General features: G+C 37.1%; 1 protein-coding gene across 4 annotated transcripts in view; it reads right to left on the bottom strand.

Annotated features, from left to right (window-relative positions):
* PTGFR (prostaglandin F receptor) overlaps positions 1-22,630 on the bottom strand; it is a 49,728-nt gene that overhangs the window by 19,348 nt on the left and 7,750 nt on the right. The window contains exon 4 of one of the 4 annotated variants that reach the window (XM_017001873.1): positions 16,840-17,418. The exons of the other annotated variants lie outside the window; for them this stretch is intronic. Within the exon in view, the coding sequence (XP_016857362.1) occupies positions 17,412-17,418 (7 nt within the window). The 3' untranslated portion in view covers positions 16,840-17,411. Of the gene's footprint in view, positions 1-16,839; positions 17,419-22,630 lie in introns of those variants that run through there. 4 annotated transcript variants of the gene reach the window in all.

Below are 22,630 nucleotides of genomic sequence, written 5' to 3'. Positions count from 1 at the left end.
GTACCAGATGAACAAGAGCATCATACCTTATAATTGTCAAGTGATTATTATATTTCTCTTTTTGAAATCACTGGGAAGGGTAAACTTTAGCTACCCACTTTTGCCAAGGAGAATTTCTCTTAATAATTGTTTTTCCCATAATCGGGGGAAAAGGAATGTAATTCCTTTGGAGTATAATTAAAGCAACAAGGCAAGATGGCTTACTTAAAAGGTTGCAGTGAGCAAAAGTCACAGCTGGTACAGAAGGGAGTGGAGTGTCTATAGAGCTGGGGGATGGGAAATTAAGAGAGAGGAGCCAGCCTAGGCAGCCCGCATGTGGCTGTACTATCCTACCTGAGCAGACAGGATTAAAAAGCGTAGCTCAGATTTCCTCCCCCTGCATGAACTCAGAGTTGTTGCAAGCATGTGAATGCTGGGGACCTTGCCATTACTTGCCTTCAAATTATGAAATGACAAGGTTAAAAGTCCCTCATGGAACTTGATTCTCACACCCCAAGTAACAAAAAACAGCAATTAAAGCATATATACCTACCTACCTAACAAGTACTTGACAAAGTCCACCACAGTGGTAGGTGAATTTTAACATAAAAAACAGCGTACTAGATCAAATTATTTTTACTTTATAACACATTCAAGATAAGCAATAAAGACATGCTCTGTATACTTTAACCATGATTGATCCCAAACCAATGGCAAATCATCACCAAATTATACTAATGACTCACTCACATAACTAAGAAAGGTCTAAGTCATCCCAAGAGTAGATCTGAAAATGACCACCAAAGACTGTCCTTCTGCTCTTAGGAGATTGTCAGCAAAAGCTCCGGAAATTTCTTTATTACACTGCTGTAAAACTGCAGCTCCAATTCCACTATTCTCTTTCCAGTGTATAAATTATCTTGTTTTTTCCATTAAGCTACCAAGTTTTGTGGTATTATTTCCAATGCCACAAAGCCAAACCCGTTCTCTGTGGTTATACGGAAGATATTGTATTCTTAAGAGGTTTCGCAAATAAAACCACAAAAATGGCCTCACTTAAAAGAACACGACTTTTTAAAGAAATATGAGGAGATAAATATATATGATCAACAAGTATATATTTGTATTCGAGTAAATTGTTTCATAAAGAAGATGGGCTGAACTAACTTTCAGATTTCTCTGGTTGTTTAACCAGTGAAAGACTCAAGATCCAAAACCCCCTATCTCAGAATGGCGCAAACCCAAAATCCCAAAAGGTAATAGTGTCTGGTTGGCATCTTAGAGGAGAATTGACCTTATTAAACACATTCATGTTACTAAGCACAGCATGAAAAGAAAGGAAGTGGTATAAACCTGAAATGACATTTACTACAAGTTTATGGAAAAGAAATCAGTGTGAAGAAAAGATGAGATAATTTAACCCATGGAAAAAAGAAAAAAGGAATTTATAAATCAACAATTAAGTCAAAAGAGAAGAGTTGCAATTTTAGAAGAGAATCCACTCTCATAATTGGTAGGTAAGAACCTACTCCACTAAGCCCAGAGACCACCAGACACCGCAATGTATATGAACTCAGGAGCCCTTTGGTCCAGAACTCTTTTAGTTGCTTGGCATAGATTAAACATAAATGAAGTTTCTTAGCAAAGCTGTTCCTTGGAAGGCCATGGGCACTTGTTCACAGGATTCTTTTGTAACAAAGCTGGTTCTGTTCATGCCTCCCCAAATAAACTACAAATTCCTTTGAGGTTAGTATCGCATTTTAGTCATGTTTGTATCCCCTGTAGCACATGTGCACAGGCCCATGGTAGGCACTCATTGAACGTTTTCATACGTTACTACTGAATTTTACTAGAGTACCAAATGGAATCATGGCCATAACAGTAACAATAACAATCACACAGCACCTTTCACTGGATGCTTACCAGATATTATGTGAAAACTAAGATTATCTTATTAAATCAGTGATAGAGTCAAAAATATTATCTATATTTTACAGAGGTTATTATCTATTATCTAATATCTATATTTTACTGAAGCTCACAAATATCCTTAATAATTTGCCGAAGGACACGTGGCAACTATGTTCAAACTCAGGTAGTGAGAAATTTCTGCACACTACAATAGGCTATATGAACTTATTTAATTAGGAGGAGAGGTTCAAGTATAGACTTGGGAGATAAGCTTTCCACTCTCAGAGATGGTTTCAGTGTAGTCACATATTGTGGAGTAGCCACTGATGAAGATGCTTATTGATAGAGACAAAAATCAAGGTATCTTTGCATATAGTAAGTGCCTTATAAATATTTGATAGGCAATTTCAGGGCCAAATTAGGAAACCTAAACAGTTTCCCAAGTCAAAGAATTCTATTCAACTGGGAATGAATACTGATCCTTTCTTCCCAGTAACAGAAGCTGAAGAGTAGTTAAGCACCTTGACTCAGACAAGTCAGAATTCACTGAGGTTAGCTACGGTGCTCTGTCTCTTTTACTTCCCAGAAAGATTTGCTTCTGCAGGGTACTCGATTTTTTTAAATATTTTAAGGCCTTATGGAAAAGCTCTGCAAAATAAAATGATAATCTCTGCTCATGTTTTACACATTTGAAATGATGGGAGCTGTGATATTAAAATCAATCATGAAAAAAATTTTTTTAATTCCAGAATTAAACCCTAACTGAACCCCAAATAAGGGGTGTCTAAATTCCTAGATCATGGTCTATCTAACATGCAATACATGCTCTGCTATAAATGCGTATGTGTGTGTGTGTGTGTGTGTGTGTGTGTGTGTGTGTGTGTGTGTGTGTGTGTCTTTTATACTGTAATGACAAATGCTGCAGTGGTGGAACCTTTCTCTTTTGTATTAAAGTAATTACTAGGGCACTTCAAAACTGATTCTCTAGGGTCAAGAAATAGAACAATTGGTAACTAAAACATAGAGTTGCCTAATTTTTTGTGTGTATAAAGCTGTGCAAAACCAAAGCCAAAAAGAAATAATAAAAGAGTAATAAAAAGAGAAAACTCCACCTCAAAAAAAGAAAAATGTAGATACATAACTTTATATTCTCAGCCAAATGAATGTCTATCAAAATGTCCTTTGCTAAACCAACAGAGAAGTTATATTGAGATTATTAACCAGGTAGAATAGATAAGACATAACTAAATGTTTCCTTTATAATTTTCCCACAAAACATAATTGTGTTTTAAGCCATAAGGAAAATTATTTTGAACGTATTTTCTTTTTTTAATTTATTCTACTTTAAGTTCTGGGATACATGTGCAGAATGTGCAGGTTTGTTACATAGGTGTACATGTGCCATGGTGGTTTGCTGCACCTATCAATCTGTCATCTAGGTTGAAAGCATTTTCTTTGTTATTTACAAACTAATCTTGGCATAATAGTAATTTATTATTTGCCTTACTTCCTAATATAAATTCCAGAAAAGTAATCACTTGTTACTCATGCATTAAATGAAATTTCTAACAAAAAAAATTTCCGAAATAAAACTTTCTGCTATATTCTGTTCCATTATAATCCATTCTCTACAAAGCACCCAAAATGATCTTTTTAAATCATGCATTAGATCACACCTTTCCCTTGTTAAAAACCCTTCCAATGGCTTCCAAAACAATTTTAATTGAAACTCACCATGGCTTCCAAAATCCTACACAATCTGACTCCTACCTTCTTCTGTGTCCTCAAATTCTACCACCTTCATCTATGCTCCCCTTGCTCCAGTGAATGACCTTTGCTTTGTTCCTCATCACAAGAAGCTCATCCCTGCTATTGGGTTTTTGTGCTGGATTTTGCCTCTGCTCAACCACCCTGCCCCAGTAATTTCCCATGGCTGGCTCCTTTTTGTCACTCAGGACTAAGCTCATGGTGAGGATGTCCTTGAATATCTAATCTAAAATAGCCCCATTCCCACCCACAATCACAGCACTTATCAATCTTTAAAATCATCGTGTAAATTTATTTTTTACTTATTATCTACCCCTTTCCAAACCGTCCTTACCCCACTTCAACCACCACCTTCAGAAGACCGTAACCCATAAGAGAAGGGATATTGCCTTGTTCAGCAACACAGCCAGCACCACTGTCCTAGCATCTAGAACAGTATCTTACACATGGAAAGCACTGATAAAAAATTTTATTGAATAATTGAATGAGTATTTCTAAACTCATTATGGTACATTTTATGGTATATTTTAAGTGCCTTGGTATGGTATTTATGGTAATATTTGAAGTGCCTTCATATAGCGAATTTTTACTAAGGACATCTATCTTTGGCTCTTTAAAAATCAAGAACTATGGTATCCTGCAGCTGCAAATATGCCTAGGTAGGATTGCAAACAGTAGTGTTCTCATAGCAAACACATCAGATTTTGCAAGACACTTAGGATAAACAGGCTGCTCAGTGAGAGGTGAACACATTTTCAAGACAAAAGTTTGTTTTGTTGCCATCAACATTCTGGAACTGGCTCCTTCTTGCACCCTCTGATTTTAATCAAAGCCTGATGACTGGTTCCTCGCAACACTCAGCAGTGACCTCTCTCTCCCCTGGATATGGTTTTAACCTTTCAATGACAGAATAGGAGAGAAAAACGACTTCTCAAAGGAAAAAAAAAATTATGTACAAATCTAGGTTATTTTTAGTACTCATTGCCAACTAACATAGCTGTCCATTTTTTAAATTTTGAATTCTAAAATTTACTTAGATAAATTAAGACCTATTTAGGTTGGAGATAGAAAAAGTTATCAGACTGAGGGCATTGTCAATGCTCTGGAAGGGAGAAGAGAAGCAAAAATTACTTTTAAAACATTATTAAAGGCACCCTTGTTTAGCAAATTTGTTTAAAGATTGCTCTCAATCAGTCCTCTGTCAGCATAACAACAGAGTACAAAAATAATCCTCCTTTTAAGGTTTACTTTTCTCTACATATCACAACCATCTTCATGTCTTTGTGTTTTCTTCATGTCAGAGCTCTTCTCCATGAATATTGACTTAAATCTGAAGACAATTTTAACTAAAATTTCAAATATAATATATGGCCAGTAATGTTGTGCAACTGTTCATAATGTTGTGTTATATGATTGTATCCCTTAGGTAAACCCTCTGAACATACATAGTCATAAATATTTTCCACATCTAAGGAAATCTACGTTCTACAAAATGTCATGAGGATTCAGTGAGTTAACATCTGTAAAGCACTTAGAATCTTGTCTGGCATATAGTAGGAGTTGTGCGTGTGGTTTTTTTAAAAAAATTAATTGGTTCTTACACTACAGAAAAATTCTTAAGCAAGAATTTTAAATTTAAAACGATTATCACAATTACAGTTTTATGGTTACATTTCAAAAAACTTGACTCTTTTTACAAGAAATAACATTTTAAAAATCCTTATGTGACATTCAAATGCAATTAATAACCACAGCTATAAGGACGTTGTTTCATTCACCAATTTTATTTGTGGTGAAAGGATTCTAAAGGATCCTAAAGGATGAGCTGCATTTTTCTTGAACTTTTCCAAGTAGTATGTGAGGCAGCATAGGAAACAGAGTAGAAACATATGACATTCACTCTGTCACTGAGGAGCTTTCTAGCCACTTAAGAAATTAGATTAATCACAAAACAAACAGCACAAAATCTATGGTCATATAGAATTAGATGCTATATTTTATCTACAGAGAGATAAATACAAGGTAGAATAATCACAGCAGATTTCTTGGAGAATATTACATGTGTAAATAAAGACAAAGAATGTCCAGAATTGTAATTTCTCCAATAAAAAAACTCAGATTTGAATCAGTGTAATGTGCTGTAGTAACATATTCTTTTTAGAGAGATGATTTTTAGCCACCAGCCACATATACATTTGACTACACTTCACGTGAAGCCATGTAATTTTGGCATTTCATTTACAAAATATTGGACTTTAAGAAAATTTGGAAGGAAAATGTTAGTTACTTAACCAGTATTCATATTTGAGTCTTCTGATTTTAATTATAAAATAATTAGTTAATAAATGGTATTTACCTGTTCTTAAAGTCATGATAGCACGTTAATCCCCCTCCCCTCTTCAGGTTGGGTGGTATAGGCCAGTCATTGAGTAAGGGAACCTAAAACCAGTTTTCTTCCTCTACCCACCACAAAGAAGCCTCCTGACTGTTTCCCACACATTCCAGTGTGCTTTAATTGACAGAAAAATGAGATTAATTCCAAAAGAGAAAACTTTATCAATATAGTTTAGATGTTTGTCCTCTCCAAATCTTATGTCGCAATGTGGTCCCCATTGTGTTAGTCCATTTTTACACTGCTATAAAAAAAAAATACCTGAAACTGCGTAATTTATAAAGAAAAGAGGTTTAGTTGGCTCACCGTTTTGCAGGCTGTACAGGAAGCATGGCGCTGGCATCTGTGTCTGGTAAAGGCCTAAGAAAACTAACAATCACGGCAGCAGGTTAAGGGGGCACAGGTGCATCACCTGGTGAGGAGGGGAGCAAGAAGGAGAAGGGGGAGGTCCCAGACTCTTTAAACAACCGGATATCTTATGAACTGAGTGAGAACTCACTTATCACCAAGGCATTGGCGCTAAATCATTCACAAAGGATTCACCCCCATAATTCAATCACCTTTCACCAGGCCGCACCTCCAACTTTAGGAATCACATTTCAACATGAAATTTGGAGGGGAGACATATCCAAACTATATCATTCCACCCCTAGGCCCCAAATCTTATGTCCTTCTCACATTTCAAAATACAGTCAAGCCTTCGCAATAGTCCTCCAAAGCATTAACTCGAAAGTCCCAAGTCCAAAGTCTCATCTGGAGATGAGTTTCTTTCACCTATAAAATTATGAAATAAAAGACAAGTTATTTAGTTCCAAGATACAAGGGTATACAGACATTGGGTTTACATTCCCATTCCAAAAGGGAGAAATAGGCCAAAATAAAGAGGCAACAGGCCCCACACAAGTCCTAAACCCAGCAGCCAGTCATTAAATCTTAAAGCTCCTGAATGAATCTCCCTTAACTCCACATCCTGCATCCAGAGTACACTGATGCAAGGAGTGAGCTCCCAAGGGGGAAGATCCACCCCTGTGGCTTTGCAAGATGCAGCCACCGTGGCTGCTCACACAGGTTGGAGTTGAGAGCCTGTGGCATTTTCAGCCACAGGGTGCAAGCAAACAGTGGCTGTACCATTCTGGGGTCTAGAGGATGGTGGCCCCCTCCCCACAGTTCCACTAGGCAGTGCCTCTCTGGGGACTCTGTGTGGGAGCTCCAATCCAAAATTTTCCCTCTGCAATACCCAAGAAGAGACTCTCTGTGGGGGTTCCACCCCTGCAGCAGGCTTCTGCCTGAGGATCCAGCCGTCCCCTTACATCCTCTAAAATCTAGGCAGAAGCCACCAAACCTCCTTCACTTTTGCATTCTGTGTGCCTACAGGCTTAACACCATACGGAAGATGCTAAGGCCATAGGCTTACACACTTGGCAGTGGCCAAGATCTGCCTGAGGCCCTTTGAGCCACAGGTGGAGTCCGGGCACCCTGGATGTGGGAAACAGCATTGCAAGGCTGTGGAGGTCCTCCTAGGTCTCTGGGCCTGTGATGAGAGGGGCTGCCTCAAAGACTTCTGAAATGGATTTCAGGCCTTTTTTCCATTGTCTCAGATATTAGCACATGGCTACTTTTTAGTCACGCTAATATCTCTAGAAAGTGATTGCTCCACAGACTGCTTGAATTCTTTCTCTACCAGAAGATTAAACTGCAAATTTTCCAAACTTTTACACTCTGCTTCCCATTTAAATATAAGTTCCAGCATTAAGTCATTCCTTTGCTTCTCTATCTGATTATAAGTTGTTAGAAGTAGTCATGCCATTTCTTAAATGCTTTGCTGCTTAGAGATTTCTTCTGCAAGATACCCTAGGCCATCACTTTTAAATTCAAATTTCCACAGATGCCTGGGTCATGAACACAATGCAGCCAAGTTATTTGCTAGGTCATAACATGGATGACTTTCACACCAGCTCCCATTAACTTCCTCATTTCCATCTGAAACCTCATCAGCTTGTCCTTCTTTGTCCGTATTTCCATCAGCATTTTGGTCACAACCATGTAATCAGTCTCTAAGAAGTTTCCAACTTTCCCTCATCTTCCTATGTTCTTCTGAGCCCTCCAAATTCTTCCAACCTCTGCCCATTTTACAGTTCCAAAGCCACTTCCACATCTTCAGGGATCTTTATAGCAACACTCCACTCCTGGTATAAATTTTCTGTGTTAGTCCTTTCTCACATTGCTATAAAAAATAGCTGAGCCTGGGAAATTTATAAAGAAAAGTGGCTTATTTCAGCTCAAGGTTCTACAGGCTGAACAGGAAACATGGTGCCAGCATCCATTTCTGGTGAGGACATTAGGAAGCATACGGTTATAAAGGAAGGGAAAGGCGGAGCAGGCATTTCACATGGCAAAAGCAGGAGAGAGAAGGGGGAGGTCCCACACTCTGAAACAACCAGATATCATGCCAGATATCACAACCAGATATCATGAGGCAGAACTCACTTACCAAGGAGTTGGTGCTAAACCATTTGTAAGGAATCTGCCTCCATGATTCTGTCACCTCTCACCAGGCCCCACCTCTAATGCTGAGAATCACATTTTAACATGAGATTTGGAAGGAAAAAACATCTGAACCATATCACCCAATGTTGGGGGTAGGGGCTGGAGAAAGGTGTTTAGGTCATAGGGGTAGAAACCTCATGAATGGCTTGGTGCCCTCCTTATAATAATGAGTGAGTTATCCCTCTGAGTTCATGCAAGATGGTAATGAGTAATTTCTTGCTCTGAGTTCATGCAAGATCTGATTCTTTTAAAAAGTGTAGCATCTCCCCTCACCTTTCCTGCTCCCTCTCTCACCTGTGACATGCCTGCTCTGGCTTCACCTTCTACCATAAGCAAAAGCTCTCTGAGGCCTCCCCAGACACTGAGCACAGCTGGCATCACACTTCCTGTACAGCCTACAGAACCATGAGCCAATTCAACCTCTTTTCTTTAAAAATTACCCAGTCTCAGGTATTTATTTATAGCAATATAAAAAATGAACTAACATTGAAAATTCATACCATGAGCGGAGTGTTGATATAAAGATCCCTGAAGATGTGGAAGCAGCTTTGGAACTGTGAACCAGGCAGAGGTTGGAAGAGTTTGGAGGGCTCAAAAGAACACAGGAAGATGAGGGAAAGTTAGAAACTTGTTAGAGACTGATTAAATGGTTGTGACGAAAATCACAACCTAATGGAAATGTGGACAGTGAAGACCAGGTTGAAGAGGTGTCAGAAGGAAATTAGGAGGTTATTAGGAATTGGAGTGAAGGTCACCCATTTTACCCCCTAGCAAATAACTTGTCTGTATTGTATTCATGTCCTAGGGATCTGTGGAAGTTTGAATTTAAGAGTAATGACCTGGGATATCTGGCAGAAGAAGCAAGCGGCAAAGTGTTCAAGATGTGGCATGGCTGCTTCTAACAGCCTATGATCAGATACAGGGACAAAGGAATGACTTGAAGTTGGAACTTATATTTAAAAGGGAAGCAGAGGATAAACATTTGAAAAAATCACAGGCTAGCCACATGATAGAGAAAAAAAGCATTTTTCAGGAGAGGAATTTATGTGGGCTGGGAGCAACCACTTCCTAGAGAGATTTGCATGACTAAAAGGGAGCCATGTGCTAATATACAAGACAATGAGGGAAAAGCCTCAAAGCCATTTCAGAAGTCTTTGAGGCAGCTCCCTCTCCTCACAGGCCCAGAGGCCTAGGAGGACAGAATGGTTTCGGGAGCCAGGACCAGGGCCTCACTGCCATGTGCAGCCTCACAACGCTACTCCCCATGTTCAGGCTGTTTCAGCTCCAGCCATGGCTCAAAGGGCCTCAGGTAAATCTCCTGCCACCACTCCTGAGGGCACGAGCCATAAGCCTTGGCATTTTCCACATGGTATTAAACCTATAGGTGCACAGAATGCAGAAGTGAAGGAGGTTTGGTGACTTCCCCCTGGATTTCAGGGAATATATGGGGAAGGCTGGGTGCCCAGGCAGAAGACTGCTGCAGGGGAAGGGCCCCCACAGAAAGCCTCTACTAGGGTAGTGCAGAGGAAAAGTTTTGGGTTGGAGCCCCCATACAGAGTCCCCAGAGGGGCATTGCCTAGTAGAGCTGTGGGAAGGGGGCCACCATCCTCCAGACCCTGGAATGGTACAGCCACTTGCAGATTGCACCATAAGCCTGAAAAAGCCACAGGCACTCAACTCCAACCCATGGGAGCAGCCATGGTGGCTGCACCCTGCAAAGCCAAAGGGATGAATTTTCCTCAGCCCTTGGGAGCCTACCTCTTACACTGGCGTGCCCTGAGTGTGGGACATGGAGTCAAGAACTATTTAAGATTTAAAATTCAATGACTGGCATCCTGGGTTTTGGACTTGTGTGGGGCCTTTTGTCTCTTTTTTTTAGCCTATTTCCCCCTTTGGGAATGAGAATGTTTACCTAATGCTTGTACCACCATTGTATCTTTTCTTTGCTGTCACAGGCTCATAGGTGGAAGGAATCTGACTTGAGTCTCAGATGAAATTAAAGACTTTGGGACTTTTGAGTTGACACTAGAATGCCTTGAGACTTTTGAGCAGTACTGTGAGGGGATTGTTGCATTTTGCAGTACGAGTAGGATATGAGATTTGGGGGGGCCAGGGATGGAATGATATAGTTTGTGTGTTTGTCCCCTCCAAATTTCATGTTGAAATGTTATCTCCAGTGTTGGATGTGGGGCCTGGTGGGAGGTGAATTCATCCTGGGAGTGGGTCTCTCATGAATGGCTTCATGCCTTCTTTGTGGTAACAAATGAGATCTTACTCTGAGTTCTCATGAGATCTGCTTGTTTAACAGAGTGTGCACCTCCCTTCCTCTTTCTTACTCTCTCTCTTGACATATGATGTGCCTGTTCCCACTTCACCTCCTGCCATGAGTCAAAGCTCCCTGGGACCTCAACAGAAGCTGAGACGATGCCAGCAACATGCTTTCTCTACAACCTGCAGAACCATGAGCCAATTAAACCTCTTTTCTTCATAAACTACGCAGTCTCAATAATTCCTTTCTAGTCATGCAAAAATGCACTAATGCATTCATCCTCCACGCTTAGTATTTTAAGAGAGTTGTGGCCTTCTAGAGGAGAGGGATAGCAGAGAAGTCCCTCAGGACTTACTAGGTTAGTACCTGAATGCACAGGACATCTTTCAGAGGCATCACTGTGATGCATGATTTTTAATTGGTTGCTGCTTATCTCTTTACACCATTTAGCAGGTAATCTTTGGATGAGTTGAACTGATTTAAGTTTGAATTTTTAGCAACCATGTAAAACAACCCAAGAAGTCCAAGAGAAGGGTGGCATCAATGCTGTGGTTACATTCTAATGTCAATTCATACCTGAGGGAGGTGTTTAAGATGAGAGTGTTGATATAGGTAAAATAGGTCATTCAGTCACCTTTACCACCAAACATAAAATAGCTTGCTAAATCAATGATGTGGAAATCCACAAAAATGTAAAACTATATGAATAAGCAGGCTAGCATTTATATTATGACCATTTAGTTTATACAGACCATCTAAATTGGGCAACTAGCAGAAAGTCAATAGCATGCAATGGAAATTACTGCTACATAGATTGCCATCTTCTCTGCTATCCAGGAAAGCTAGATTTCAGTAACAAAAAAGCCACCATTATAGAAACATTTAAAAATTAAGATGTATCGGAAACTATCTTTTCACCACAATGAATACAAGCATAATGAGAGAGATATCAGTTGCTACTTTTTGTTGAAATTTGGAAATAAATTTTTATACTAGGAAATAAGAAACAAGACAGCACTCATACAGTTCTTTATATGCAATTCTAGTCCAGCATTTCCCCAAAAGATGCATTTCTAATATAAGCAGACAAAAAGGATATGCTAGGTTGGAGAAATATTCTCAGAAGTTTCTTCTTAATGCACAGGTGTTGAGCAATTCCAAACCACAACTAGACTGGTCTGGATGAGGGATAGGCCAATTACAGGCGTTGATGACCACCATTGTCAGCATCATATTCCTGGCACTAGGCAGAATGGGCCTACCTCCTACAGTGGAAATTTAGCTATACCCTTCCATCCACTGATTCCTTTCTGATTTAGCAGAACTGAAACAGCTACCAGAATACAGGTGGGAGAATGTAAGTAGTAAAGTTACTGTCCACATTAAAATTTTTTTAATGTCAGAATTCCGGAGTCCAACCAAGAGGCACTGCAAGCATGAGACAGAATGAAAGAAAATCTCTATTTGGTCTGTTCGAATATGATGGTCTATATTCCACTAATAAGAATGGCACTAAAAGTTCCTTAGACTATACCAAAATACCCAAACATCTCACTAATTCAATTTTGAAAATCACCTCAGTAAAAAGAATTGACTGTAACATTCATATCAGTATCTTGTAGCCAAAATGACTGAAATGACAAAAATTATATACTAGATTAATTTTCCACTTTAAGGCTTGCCGTTATAATTTATACAGAATATTATGAGAAATACACATTTTAAAGTAACAATGACCCTCTGGGTTAAGAAGGTGATTTTACCTTTACATTTTGCATTCTTACTGCCCAAATTCCCATTGGAACAACTCAGTTAGAAACACCACATATACCCACCAATGCTGGAAAAGTCAGGCCGGACTGTTGAGAGTGGATCAGAGATAGAAGTCAGGGGAGAGTTTGAACCACATGAATTTCTCTGAGGTGCACAGCAGGGAGCTAGCACTTGCTATGGGGACAGTGACATTCATTCCTAGGCTGTACTTGGAGCAGTAAAGGGGGTCATGACAGCTACACACTCCTAATGAAGGGCATGATGATTCAAAAGAGGGCAGTGCCTCAGGTAACTTTGGACTACAGTAATACTCATGAAAAGAAGCTGTTCAGCAAAACCATGAAGTTTCCAGCCACATACCAGAGGAAAAACACTATTATTAAATTTCAAAACATAAAGAATGCAATAAAAACAGAATACCAAATCTGTCTAGGCAATTTTTGTAGAAAAGAATAAAAATAGACATATGATGCATGAAAAGATAATTTTTATGAATAATAAATCAAGAAGCTCTGATATATTTGTAATAAGCATTTCATGAGGAAAAAACAAAGTAGCCAGAAGCACAAACAGAAAAAAAGAAAATAGAACATTTCTGTGAGGTTAAAAAAAATCAGGTTAAAAAAGTATCCTGAGTATAAGCAAAATGTAATAAAAGTATTCCCACACTGAAACAAATTCCAAAGATAATCCCATAAGTAACTACACAGGAAGGAAAAGAATTAAATTGGTTTCAAACTCCTTCTTTATACAAGTAAATGAAGAAAACAAAATAGAATAAAGTCAGCAAGGTCTTTAAGGGAAAATAATTTCGATATAACAACTCAATAACCAGCAAAACTATTGACCAAGATAAGTACATTTTCAAACATGCTAGTTTGAAGACAAGCCTCATCCTTATTCTTCACATTAAGAGTCTAATTTCATACTTCAGCAATCTAGAAATCAATCAAAATACCAAACATTAGAATGGAGACAATATGATCAAAAAGAAATTGCAGCAGTAACAAAGCCAATAAAACAAAATGTCAATCAAATTCTACATAACTTTTCAACTGTTTTTAGTATGGTTATGAAACTTATTTTATTCAACATTTTACAAATTTTCTTGAATACTCACTGTGTGACATGTCCTGTATTAGGCTCTGCAAATACAATGATTAGCAAAGTAGACATAGACTATATCCCTATGGAACTTCCAAAAATATCAAAAATTATTTCAGAAAATGGAGAGGCATTAATTTTTCTAAAAAATAACAATTCAAATCTAAAATCTAAATGTGGTATTTCATTCCAGTATGGCCAAATAAGCTCCTATGGAACCAAGCTTCACTCAACAGCTATAAACTCTGTGCCAAAAACAAAAACAAACACACTACCTGAAGACACTGGAGAATAGCCAAAAGCAGGCAAATTCTTGAGAATAATCAATTATTCTCTGGGAAAAAGGATGAGTTTCCTATTCCATAGTTTCCAGTCTGAAAACACACCCCAGTCTGTGCCGTGCAGAGTAGCTAAACTCTGATACTAAACCCACAGTCTTTCCAGCCTGAAGAATCAGAGGACAGAGTTCTCCTGGAAACAAAAGAGCCAGAGAGGGGAAGCTCCAAATATTATATATAAATTCTGACCAAATCTTGGGCTGACCTTTGAATCATGCATGTTTAGGGTAGATTCCATGTAACCTAGTTAAGGATAAAATAATTTAAATGGTATTTGAGCTGCTGTTTGCAGTTTGAGTCTGGTCAAGTCAATTTCCTGTTAAAACAGAAATATTAACACTCTTCAGAGGAATACAATAGAATGCGGAGTCTCCCTAACATAACATTCACAATGCCCAAGATACAATTCAATAATGTTCAATAAACAAAGAAACAGGAAACTGTGACTTGCTCTCAAAAGAAAATAGAACCAACAGAGACTGACTCCAGGATACAGAAATGCTGGAATTAGCCAAAAAGAACTCTATATTCTTAGAATATTAAGATATTATATCTTATTCAAATATGCTATTATATTTATTAGGTTATTACATTTTATTAGACTATACTCAGTATCCTTGAGAGTATACATTTAGTAGCAAATTTTTACTGAGAATTTACTTATTAAAATAGAAAAAGGTAAAAAAATCAAACAAACCAATCACTAGGAATAAAACTAAAACTGTCAAAAAAATGCTGAAATAATGTTAAATCATCATAAAGCAACTAACAGCCAAATTACTTAAATTATTCTAGACCTGGAAAAATAAGAATTTCCCTACTGGTTTTTAAAACTGGAATAATTCTAATATTAAAAGTAAAAGAATAAAATAAAGCAGGGAAATTACAGACCAATATAACTTTTTTAAACACAAAAATAAAAATAAAAGATTTTTTCCAAAAATATATACAAATAGCCAACAAGCACATTAAAAGATGCTCAACATTAAGAAAATGTAACTCAAACTACAATGAGTTACCATGACATCCACTAAAGCCATTATAATAAAATATAAATATAAATAAAAAGAGAAAATAAAAAGTGTTGGCAAAAACTGTGGAATAATTGGGACACTCGCACGTTGCTGTTAGGAATGGAAAATGGTGCAGCTGCTGTGAAAAGGTTTGGTGGTTTCTCAAGAAGTTAAACAGAATTACTATATTACCAACAATTCCACTCCTAGTCATATACCCAAAAGAATTGTAAACAGGTGTTCAAAAACTTGTACACAAATGTTCATAGTAGCATTATTATTCACAATAGCCAAAAGATGGAAATAGCCCAAATGTTAATTGACTTCTGAAAAGATAAACAAAATGCAGTATATTGATGCAAATGAATTTAGTCAGCTACAAAAAGGAAAGATGTACTGACCTTGCTCAGTGTAGATGTAGATGAACCTTGAAAACCTTATGCTAACCGAAAGAAGCCAGACACAAAAGGTGACATATTGTAAGATTCCGTTTATGCAAAATAACCATAATAAACAAATCCAGAAAGAGAGAAATTAGTGGTTGTCACGGACTTTGGGGTGTGGGGAGTGACTCCTGATGGATATAGGGTTTTCTTTTGGGGATAAAAAAAATGTTCTGTACAAGATAGTGGTGACAGCTGCACAACATTGTGAATGTACCAAGTGTCAGGAATTGTACACTTTAAAATGGTTAAAATGGTAAATGTTATATTATGTAAATTTTCCCACAATAAATAACAAATGTATCAAGATCAGTGCTTTCTTATATACTTGTATATGTAAAAGAAAGTAATGATTATATTTACAGTAGAAACAAAAATTTTTAAAAGTTAGAATAGGCCAGGCGTGGTGGCTCATGCCTGTAATCCCAGCACTTTGGGAGGCCGAGGTGGGTGGATCACCTGAGGTCAGGAGTTTGAGACCAGCCTTGCCAACGTGGTGAAACCTCATCTCTACTAAAAATACAAAAATTAGCCAGGTGTGGTGGTGGGTGCCTGTAATCCCAGCTACTCAGGAGGCTGAGGCAGGAGAATCACTTGAACCTGGGAAGTGGAGGTTGCAGTGAGCCAAGGTCACGTCACTGCACTCCAGCCTGGACAACAAGAGCAACACTCCATCTCAAAAAAAAAAAAAAAAAAAGTTAGAATAAAAGTGCTATAAAACTAATGCAACTAATTTGCCTCACTATTATGAGGAAAGTTACAAAATTTTTATTCAAAACACGACTTTGATAATAAGATAGATTGTGATCAAGATAAGAAACACTCTATATTAAAATTGATCAATTGTACTCAAGTCTAAATAAAATACAGAGATGATAATTGTACATAAAGCTAATACTAATTGTACATAAAGATCAATAGGATAAGATAAAGGATCCAAAAATATCCAAGCACATGTTAGAATGTTATATATAATAAAGGTAGGAATTTAAAACAGGTTGCAGGAAGAGCATTCAATAAATAATTTGAGGACAACTGGCTAACCATTCAATAGAAAATTCAGATCATTAACTTGTAAATCAAACCAAAATAAGTCATAAATGTATTAAAAACATAAATACAAATGATGAATGGGGAAAATTGCTAGAAGAAAAAAAGAGGTAAATACTGATATCATCTCAGCCTGAGAAAAGCATTTTTTAAACATGAAACAATCAGTAACCACAAAAGAAATTATTAATTCACTACTTTTGTAAACTCAAATACTGAATTAAAAGGCAAACAATAAACCTGGACAAACAACTGCTTTTATAATAATTTATTTTATAAGTATTTTTATATATCAGAATTATCTGTTCTTTGCTATCCAAACAGTTCTTGCAAATCATTTAGAAAAATACAAATACCTGTACATTCACAAAAGGGATAATGCCCAACAACTGTAATAAAAAATGTTTAACTACTCTATTAATCAAAGAATTAAAATAATGTATTTTCCCCATTAGCTAGGTAAAAAGATAGATGCACCCAGAATACTAACAGTAGTTATTTCTGGGTAGTGGGATTTGGAAGATTTTTTTTAAAAACTTAATATGTAGTTTGTTGTAATTTTTTACAATGAAATTTTATAGCTAAAGAAAATATTATATTTTTTTCAAATAGCTTGGGGAATATAATACATGAAATTTAATATCCCTCAATAAAGGAGAAGACGTCTGTGAAAATAAAAGGAGGTCTCACCTTTCCAACAGAGTTCCCAAAACATGAGAGTGCCTCTCTTCACCCTCATACCACCAGCTTTCTGCTGCCCTAATTGCCTTGTTTTCACCCTTGCGTTCTGTTTCTCCTTCACTCATGTGACTTTTATTTTTCCTTCTATTTTCTGGTCCACAGCCACGGTCATAAATGCAAGAAGCAAAATAAAGGAATATGTAATAACAATAACAACCAATATTGATGCCACTGCTGCTACAACAATGTTCTTGCTGTGTATTTAGTACTTACTAATTCACCTTTGTGATCAGAGGTTCCTTCAGTATTACTAAGCCATTACCTCCCTGACCTGCTCCAAAGCAAAGCCAGAAAAATACAAATAGCTATATTTACCCCATAGTAAAAGTGGAAAAAGTAGGCAGAGGAAGCATGTGGAGTTTGGAGAAGAGAATGCAAGGTCACAGACAAAATGAAGGAGATAGAAAGCATGAGTCTTAGAATTTGTCTCAGGAATATTTTCCCAGGTCATGTCTCTGTCTCTATCCTTTACCCTCCACCTGGAGAGACACCCACCAGTTTCCTCAGCAAAGTCTGCTGAAAGAATAAATCAATGAATAAATTATTCATGAGTAAATGAAAACGTAAATGAACTTTTTTTGTTTCCTTCCTATTACTCATATTCACAGCAATTTAATGATTTAATTGTTTTTCTTTATTTCTAAAACTTCCTTGAATTCTTAGAAAGTGTTAGGAGCTTTTGTAATGCTTCATTTCACCCAAAATTTATTTCTCTTCTACATCCTGAGTCGGTTTCCTTATCAAAAGATAGTATAAAATACTAATTTGAATTATTAAATTTTTATTATCTGACAATTTTTCTACTCATATTTTATTACTTGAAAAATTTTAATTTAATATTAACTTATTATAACCTGCTGTATTCTAATCCTGTTAAAGCCTGGCCCAAATACTAAAGAGTTTCTCTTCTCATTTTCACACTTCCGTATCTCTGGGAATTATATGCATTATTTTCTCATTGGTTCTTACAGCTTACATTAATTGACTTTCGATTACATTTATTTCCAGTAATTTTTCTTTGTAAATGATAGCCCAGAGAAATTTTTTCCTTTTCATAAGCTGTCACGAATAATCTCATCCACAAACATTCATAATAAAATACCTGATATTCTGTTGTAACAAAAGATAGAATCGTTATATTTCAGTTTCCTGCATATCTCTTCTCTTTTTATCTTATAAGTACTATTGTTTAAGGCCATAGACATTATGAACAGTTAAATTACAGTGATTATTATTCTAGTATCTAGAACAGTGCCTGACATATGTTAGATGCCCAATAAATGTTTGTCAAATCAATAAACAAATAACCACTTATGGATCACCAAATTAGAAGTGACAAATCCCTCTTATAATTCCCATTATTCATTTAATAATTTTAACGTGTCTTTGATCATCTCATTGACAAAATGATTAGTGGGCAACATTATTATTTAATAGTAACAGCAACAACAATGAGAATAGTATAATAACTGAAGCATATGGTACTTGTTATATGTCAAACACTATTTTAAGTGCTTTACAAACATTATTTAATTCTCACAACCACCCTATGAAGTGGATACTATTACTACTTATTTCACTTTATTTTACTTACTTTATTTTGCTTTATTACTACTTAATTATGAGGAAACAGAGGCACAGAGTGGCTACAGACACATGGCCAGGAAGTGAAAGAAACAGGACTTGAACCCAGATTCTTAAACACTACACTATATTGCTTTTTCAAAGGCTAATAACTTACATCTTTTGCTTCAAATAAATTATAAGTTCCTTGAGGAAAGATCTTTATCCTTTACTCCCTGGTACCACTCACAACTCTGATCTAATAATTAATACCTCACAAATTATCAGAATATTTAGGAGGTTAGCAGGCAACATCTTTACTTCTGATGAGATAGTGAAGTAAGGACCTATAATTTGAAACTTGGAGTGGAAATGTTCAAGTTTTCTGAAGCTATGAGCTTCTTCTCTCTTCCTTTCTACTGCAACCAATCCTTCTTAATGGAAGAGAAAATGGAAAATATCTGAACTAAACGTAGATGATTATTTTTCATTGGGATGGTGGGCAGCATTAATACCAATAAACTTTTTGAGTATTTTTGGATTTTGTTGTACATTTACTATGTGCCAATCACTCTGTGATGAGACTTTAGGGAAATTAAATTATTTAATCTGATAGTACATCTGAGTTTACGATTATTATAATCACGGATATGCACAATTGTCTTAGAGTAACTCTAAGGTCATAGCTAAGAAGTGGTGAGGCTGAGATTCATGCTCCCCGCCTATACTCTGAATAACTACACTATTCTCAAAGGAAGACTTGACTTGGGACTATGCACAAAAAGCTAAAATAATTCATTTTACATAATCCAATTGTCTCTGTCTCCTTCACCATCACACCACGGCCACACTCCATTTCAGTATTCCACAGTCTGAATTTCATTTGGGATACAATAGCTGAGGAGGAGTGAGAAAAAAACACCTCCCTGCCTATGTAAAACCACAATTGTATTCACTCTTCTATGGCATTAGCTGTGTTACACCCAGAAAAGAGGACAGACAGGAGACAGGTTTACACAAGCTCTGAAAGGTATATTTACAAGTATCACAAGACAAACTTATCCTGTTGGATGAAGTCCTCTCTGAGTACAGATAAATGACACTGATGTATCAGGTTAAATTGGGGTGGCTATACATGACTTCCAAAACAAATATAAATGGAATACAATTTATATACTTCCTATAAAGATAAGTCTTAAGCAAATAAAGCTAAAACTGGCAACCCAAAGAGCTTTGGGACACATCAACATCTTGAATTGTTCTTCAAATGTTTTGGAGCTTAATGAAAAGCCCAAAACCCTTTAAGCCAGAAGATTTTTATATCCTTGAGGGTATAAATTTAATACACATGTTTCTGATTCGTTTACACTTAAGTCATTCAAGTAATGTTTTGTAAGTGTCGTCTCGATGTCTATGATATCTTTGGGCATTTTTATAAGTCTTTCTTCTTAAAAAAAAAAGGTCATGTTTTTCTAAGAGTAAATAAGTTTAAAATAACAAAGTATTCCAGATCACTGTGCTCATCCAAAGCAACAAATTCTTGAGTAAATTCTCATCCTAGCAATGTCTTTTAAAAATGGATTGACATTTGCCAATTTTACACCATACACTTTTATGGAGGGAGATAGTTTTATACTTAAATGAGCTCAATTCCATATACATAGCCTACACATAGCTCATATATTTATCAAATAACACTGTAAACCAATGTGTAATGCACTTTATATGCAGATAGTACATGAACAAATAGACTTCTGGAAGGTTGTCCTAAGGTAGGCTCTGGAGGCAATAGACTTTGGGGCAGACATCTGCACGCAGGAAGCTTTCCAGAGAGTGTGTGAAGTGGAGAAGGAAGCAGGATTGGGTAGGAGAGGAGCTGCAAGGCAGTTGCAAGGAAACTCCTCAACAGACGCCTCAGCAAGCCCTGAAGCATGAATGGACCTTCGGAAATATCCCAACAAGGCAAAGGAACAAGTTCCCTGTATCCCCACATCCACCAGTCACTGCACATAGACTGACCCCAAGAGACAGGGACACAATCTTGGACAAAGCAGCTACTTTCAGCTAAAGGAAATTCCCTTGAGAAAAGGAAGATCTGGGAGGAGTACCACAGTGTCCACTAAAAAGGTCTGTCGGATTTTTTTGAGAATTAATCCTCTGTGAATATAAAACCTACCTAATCTTTTAGTCTGATAGCAGTACAGGTTAAAGCATATACATTCATTTAATCAGCTGGTAAAGACATGATGTAAGCAAGCCTGCTTCAGACAAATTTCCATATTTACCACAGAGCTTTCATTTTATGACAAGGAACATGCAATATCTGGAGGTCTTTACTCAAAGTAAGTTCTCCTCTTGTCCCCCAACATGATTCTCTCAGAGATAAAATACCAAAAAAAAAATACATTATGAAAAAAATGTGTGGCTGTAGAGAAAACATCAGTGTTAAAGACTGGGGATAAATTAATCCAAATTTCTGTTACCTAATATTTTCCTTTGCCTTTGATACTTCCCATTCAATACTTGAGTGATTATTTTATTCATTCAATAAACATCGATTAATGGCTCATTATATTTGAAATTAAAACATAAACTAATAATGTAGAGTAAAGCCACCAAGCACCATTTGGAATAACAGAGAAAACATATAAACAAATCATTGTAATATCATAAAATAAAATACCAAGCCTAGTATGTCCATGAAATTCCTCTAGATGCTGACAGAATTCCTAAATTCTCATTCTGGATTCAAACTTCAGAAAGTCCAAGATTCTCCAGGACATTACTTCCAACTTACATTCTTAGGGAACTCCTGAACACAGAATTTCTCCCTCTCAGACCTCTCCAGCTCAAATCACAATTCAAAGTACTACAGGTATTCCCAGGGGCTATCAACCAGGTCCTGACCTCCTCAGCAGAGCTAATTCAAAGTGGAAATGAGGTAGTCAACAACTGGGCCCTCCTTTACATAAGATTCATTTGGCAGACTCTTACTGACCCCAACTATATGCCAGGCACTGGTCTAGGAGCTGAACACAGAACAATCAGCAAGGCCCCTCCCTCAGGAGCTTACGTGCTAGGGGCAAAAGCCCAGCAACAACCAGATAGACAGAGAAATATGTATTATGTTATCACACCCTGCTAGGTCCTATGAGGGAGATAAAGCAGAGGAAAGGAAGAGAGGAAAAGAGAACAGGAACTTTTTAAAGATAGCCCAGATAGAGGAGGGGATATTTGAGAGAACAGAGAAGAAAGAGGGAGAGAGTCACGTGAATGTCAAGAGGAGAGTGTTCCAGGCAGGAGAACACCAAGGCTCAGGGACAGGAATGTGCTCCCTGATCTCCCAGGGCAGCTCCTCTGCTAGCTATGGTTGGTCATTCACCCCATGGCACTTACTTCATGCCTTCCCCAATGTGAGAAAGCTGCCTGAATTCCCACGATTACACTACATTAACGTATCTCTAAAATATGTCTTTTCTGCTGGATATGAATTTTGAGTTGTTGAGGTCTAAGTTACAAACTTCCCAGAAGTAGAACCCAGTTGTCATAAGTCCTGTATCCAGACAACCTCACTGCTGCTTCCACGTTCCAAACAGAGGGACACTCACGCTTCACAAAGAAAACTAGCTAAAATGATTTATGAAAATATTGCCTCTGAAATCAGCAGAAATCCAAGAGTAAACCTGAAAGACCTATATTCCAAGATCTAATATAAGACTATAGAACAGTCCATTTTGTTT

This window comes from Homo sapiens, chromosome 1 (genome assembly GCF_000001405.40).
Source record: "Homo sapiens chromosome 1, GRCh38.p14 Primary Assembly".
Lineage (NCBI taxonomy): Eukaryota > Metazoa > Chordata > Mammalia > Primates > Hominidae > Homo > Homo sapiens.
The sequence above is the reverse complement of the archived record's forward strand: the minus strand, read 5'-3'. Positions and strand labels throughout refer to the sequence as shown.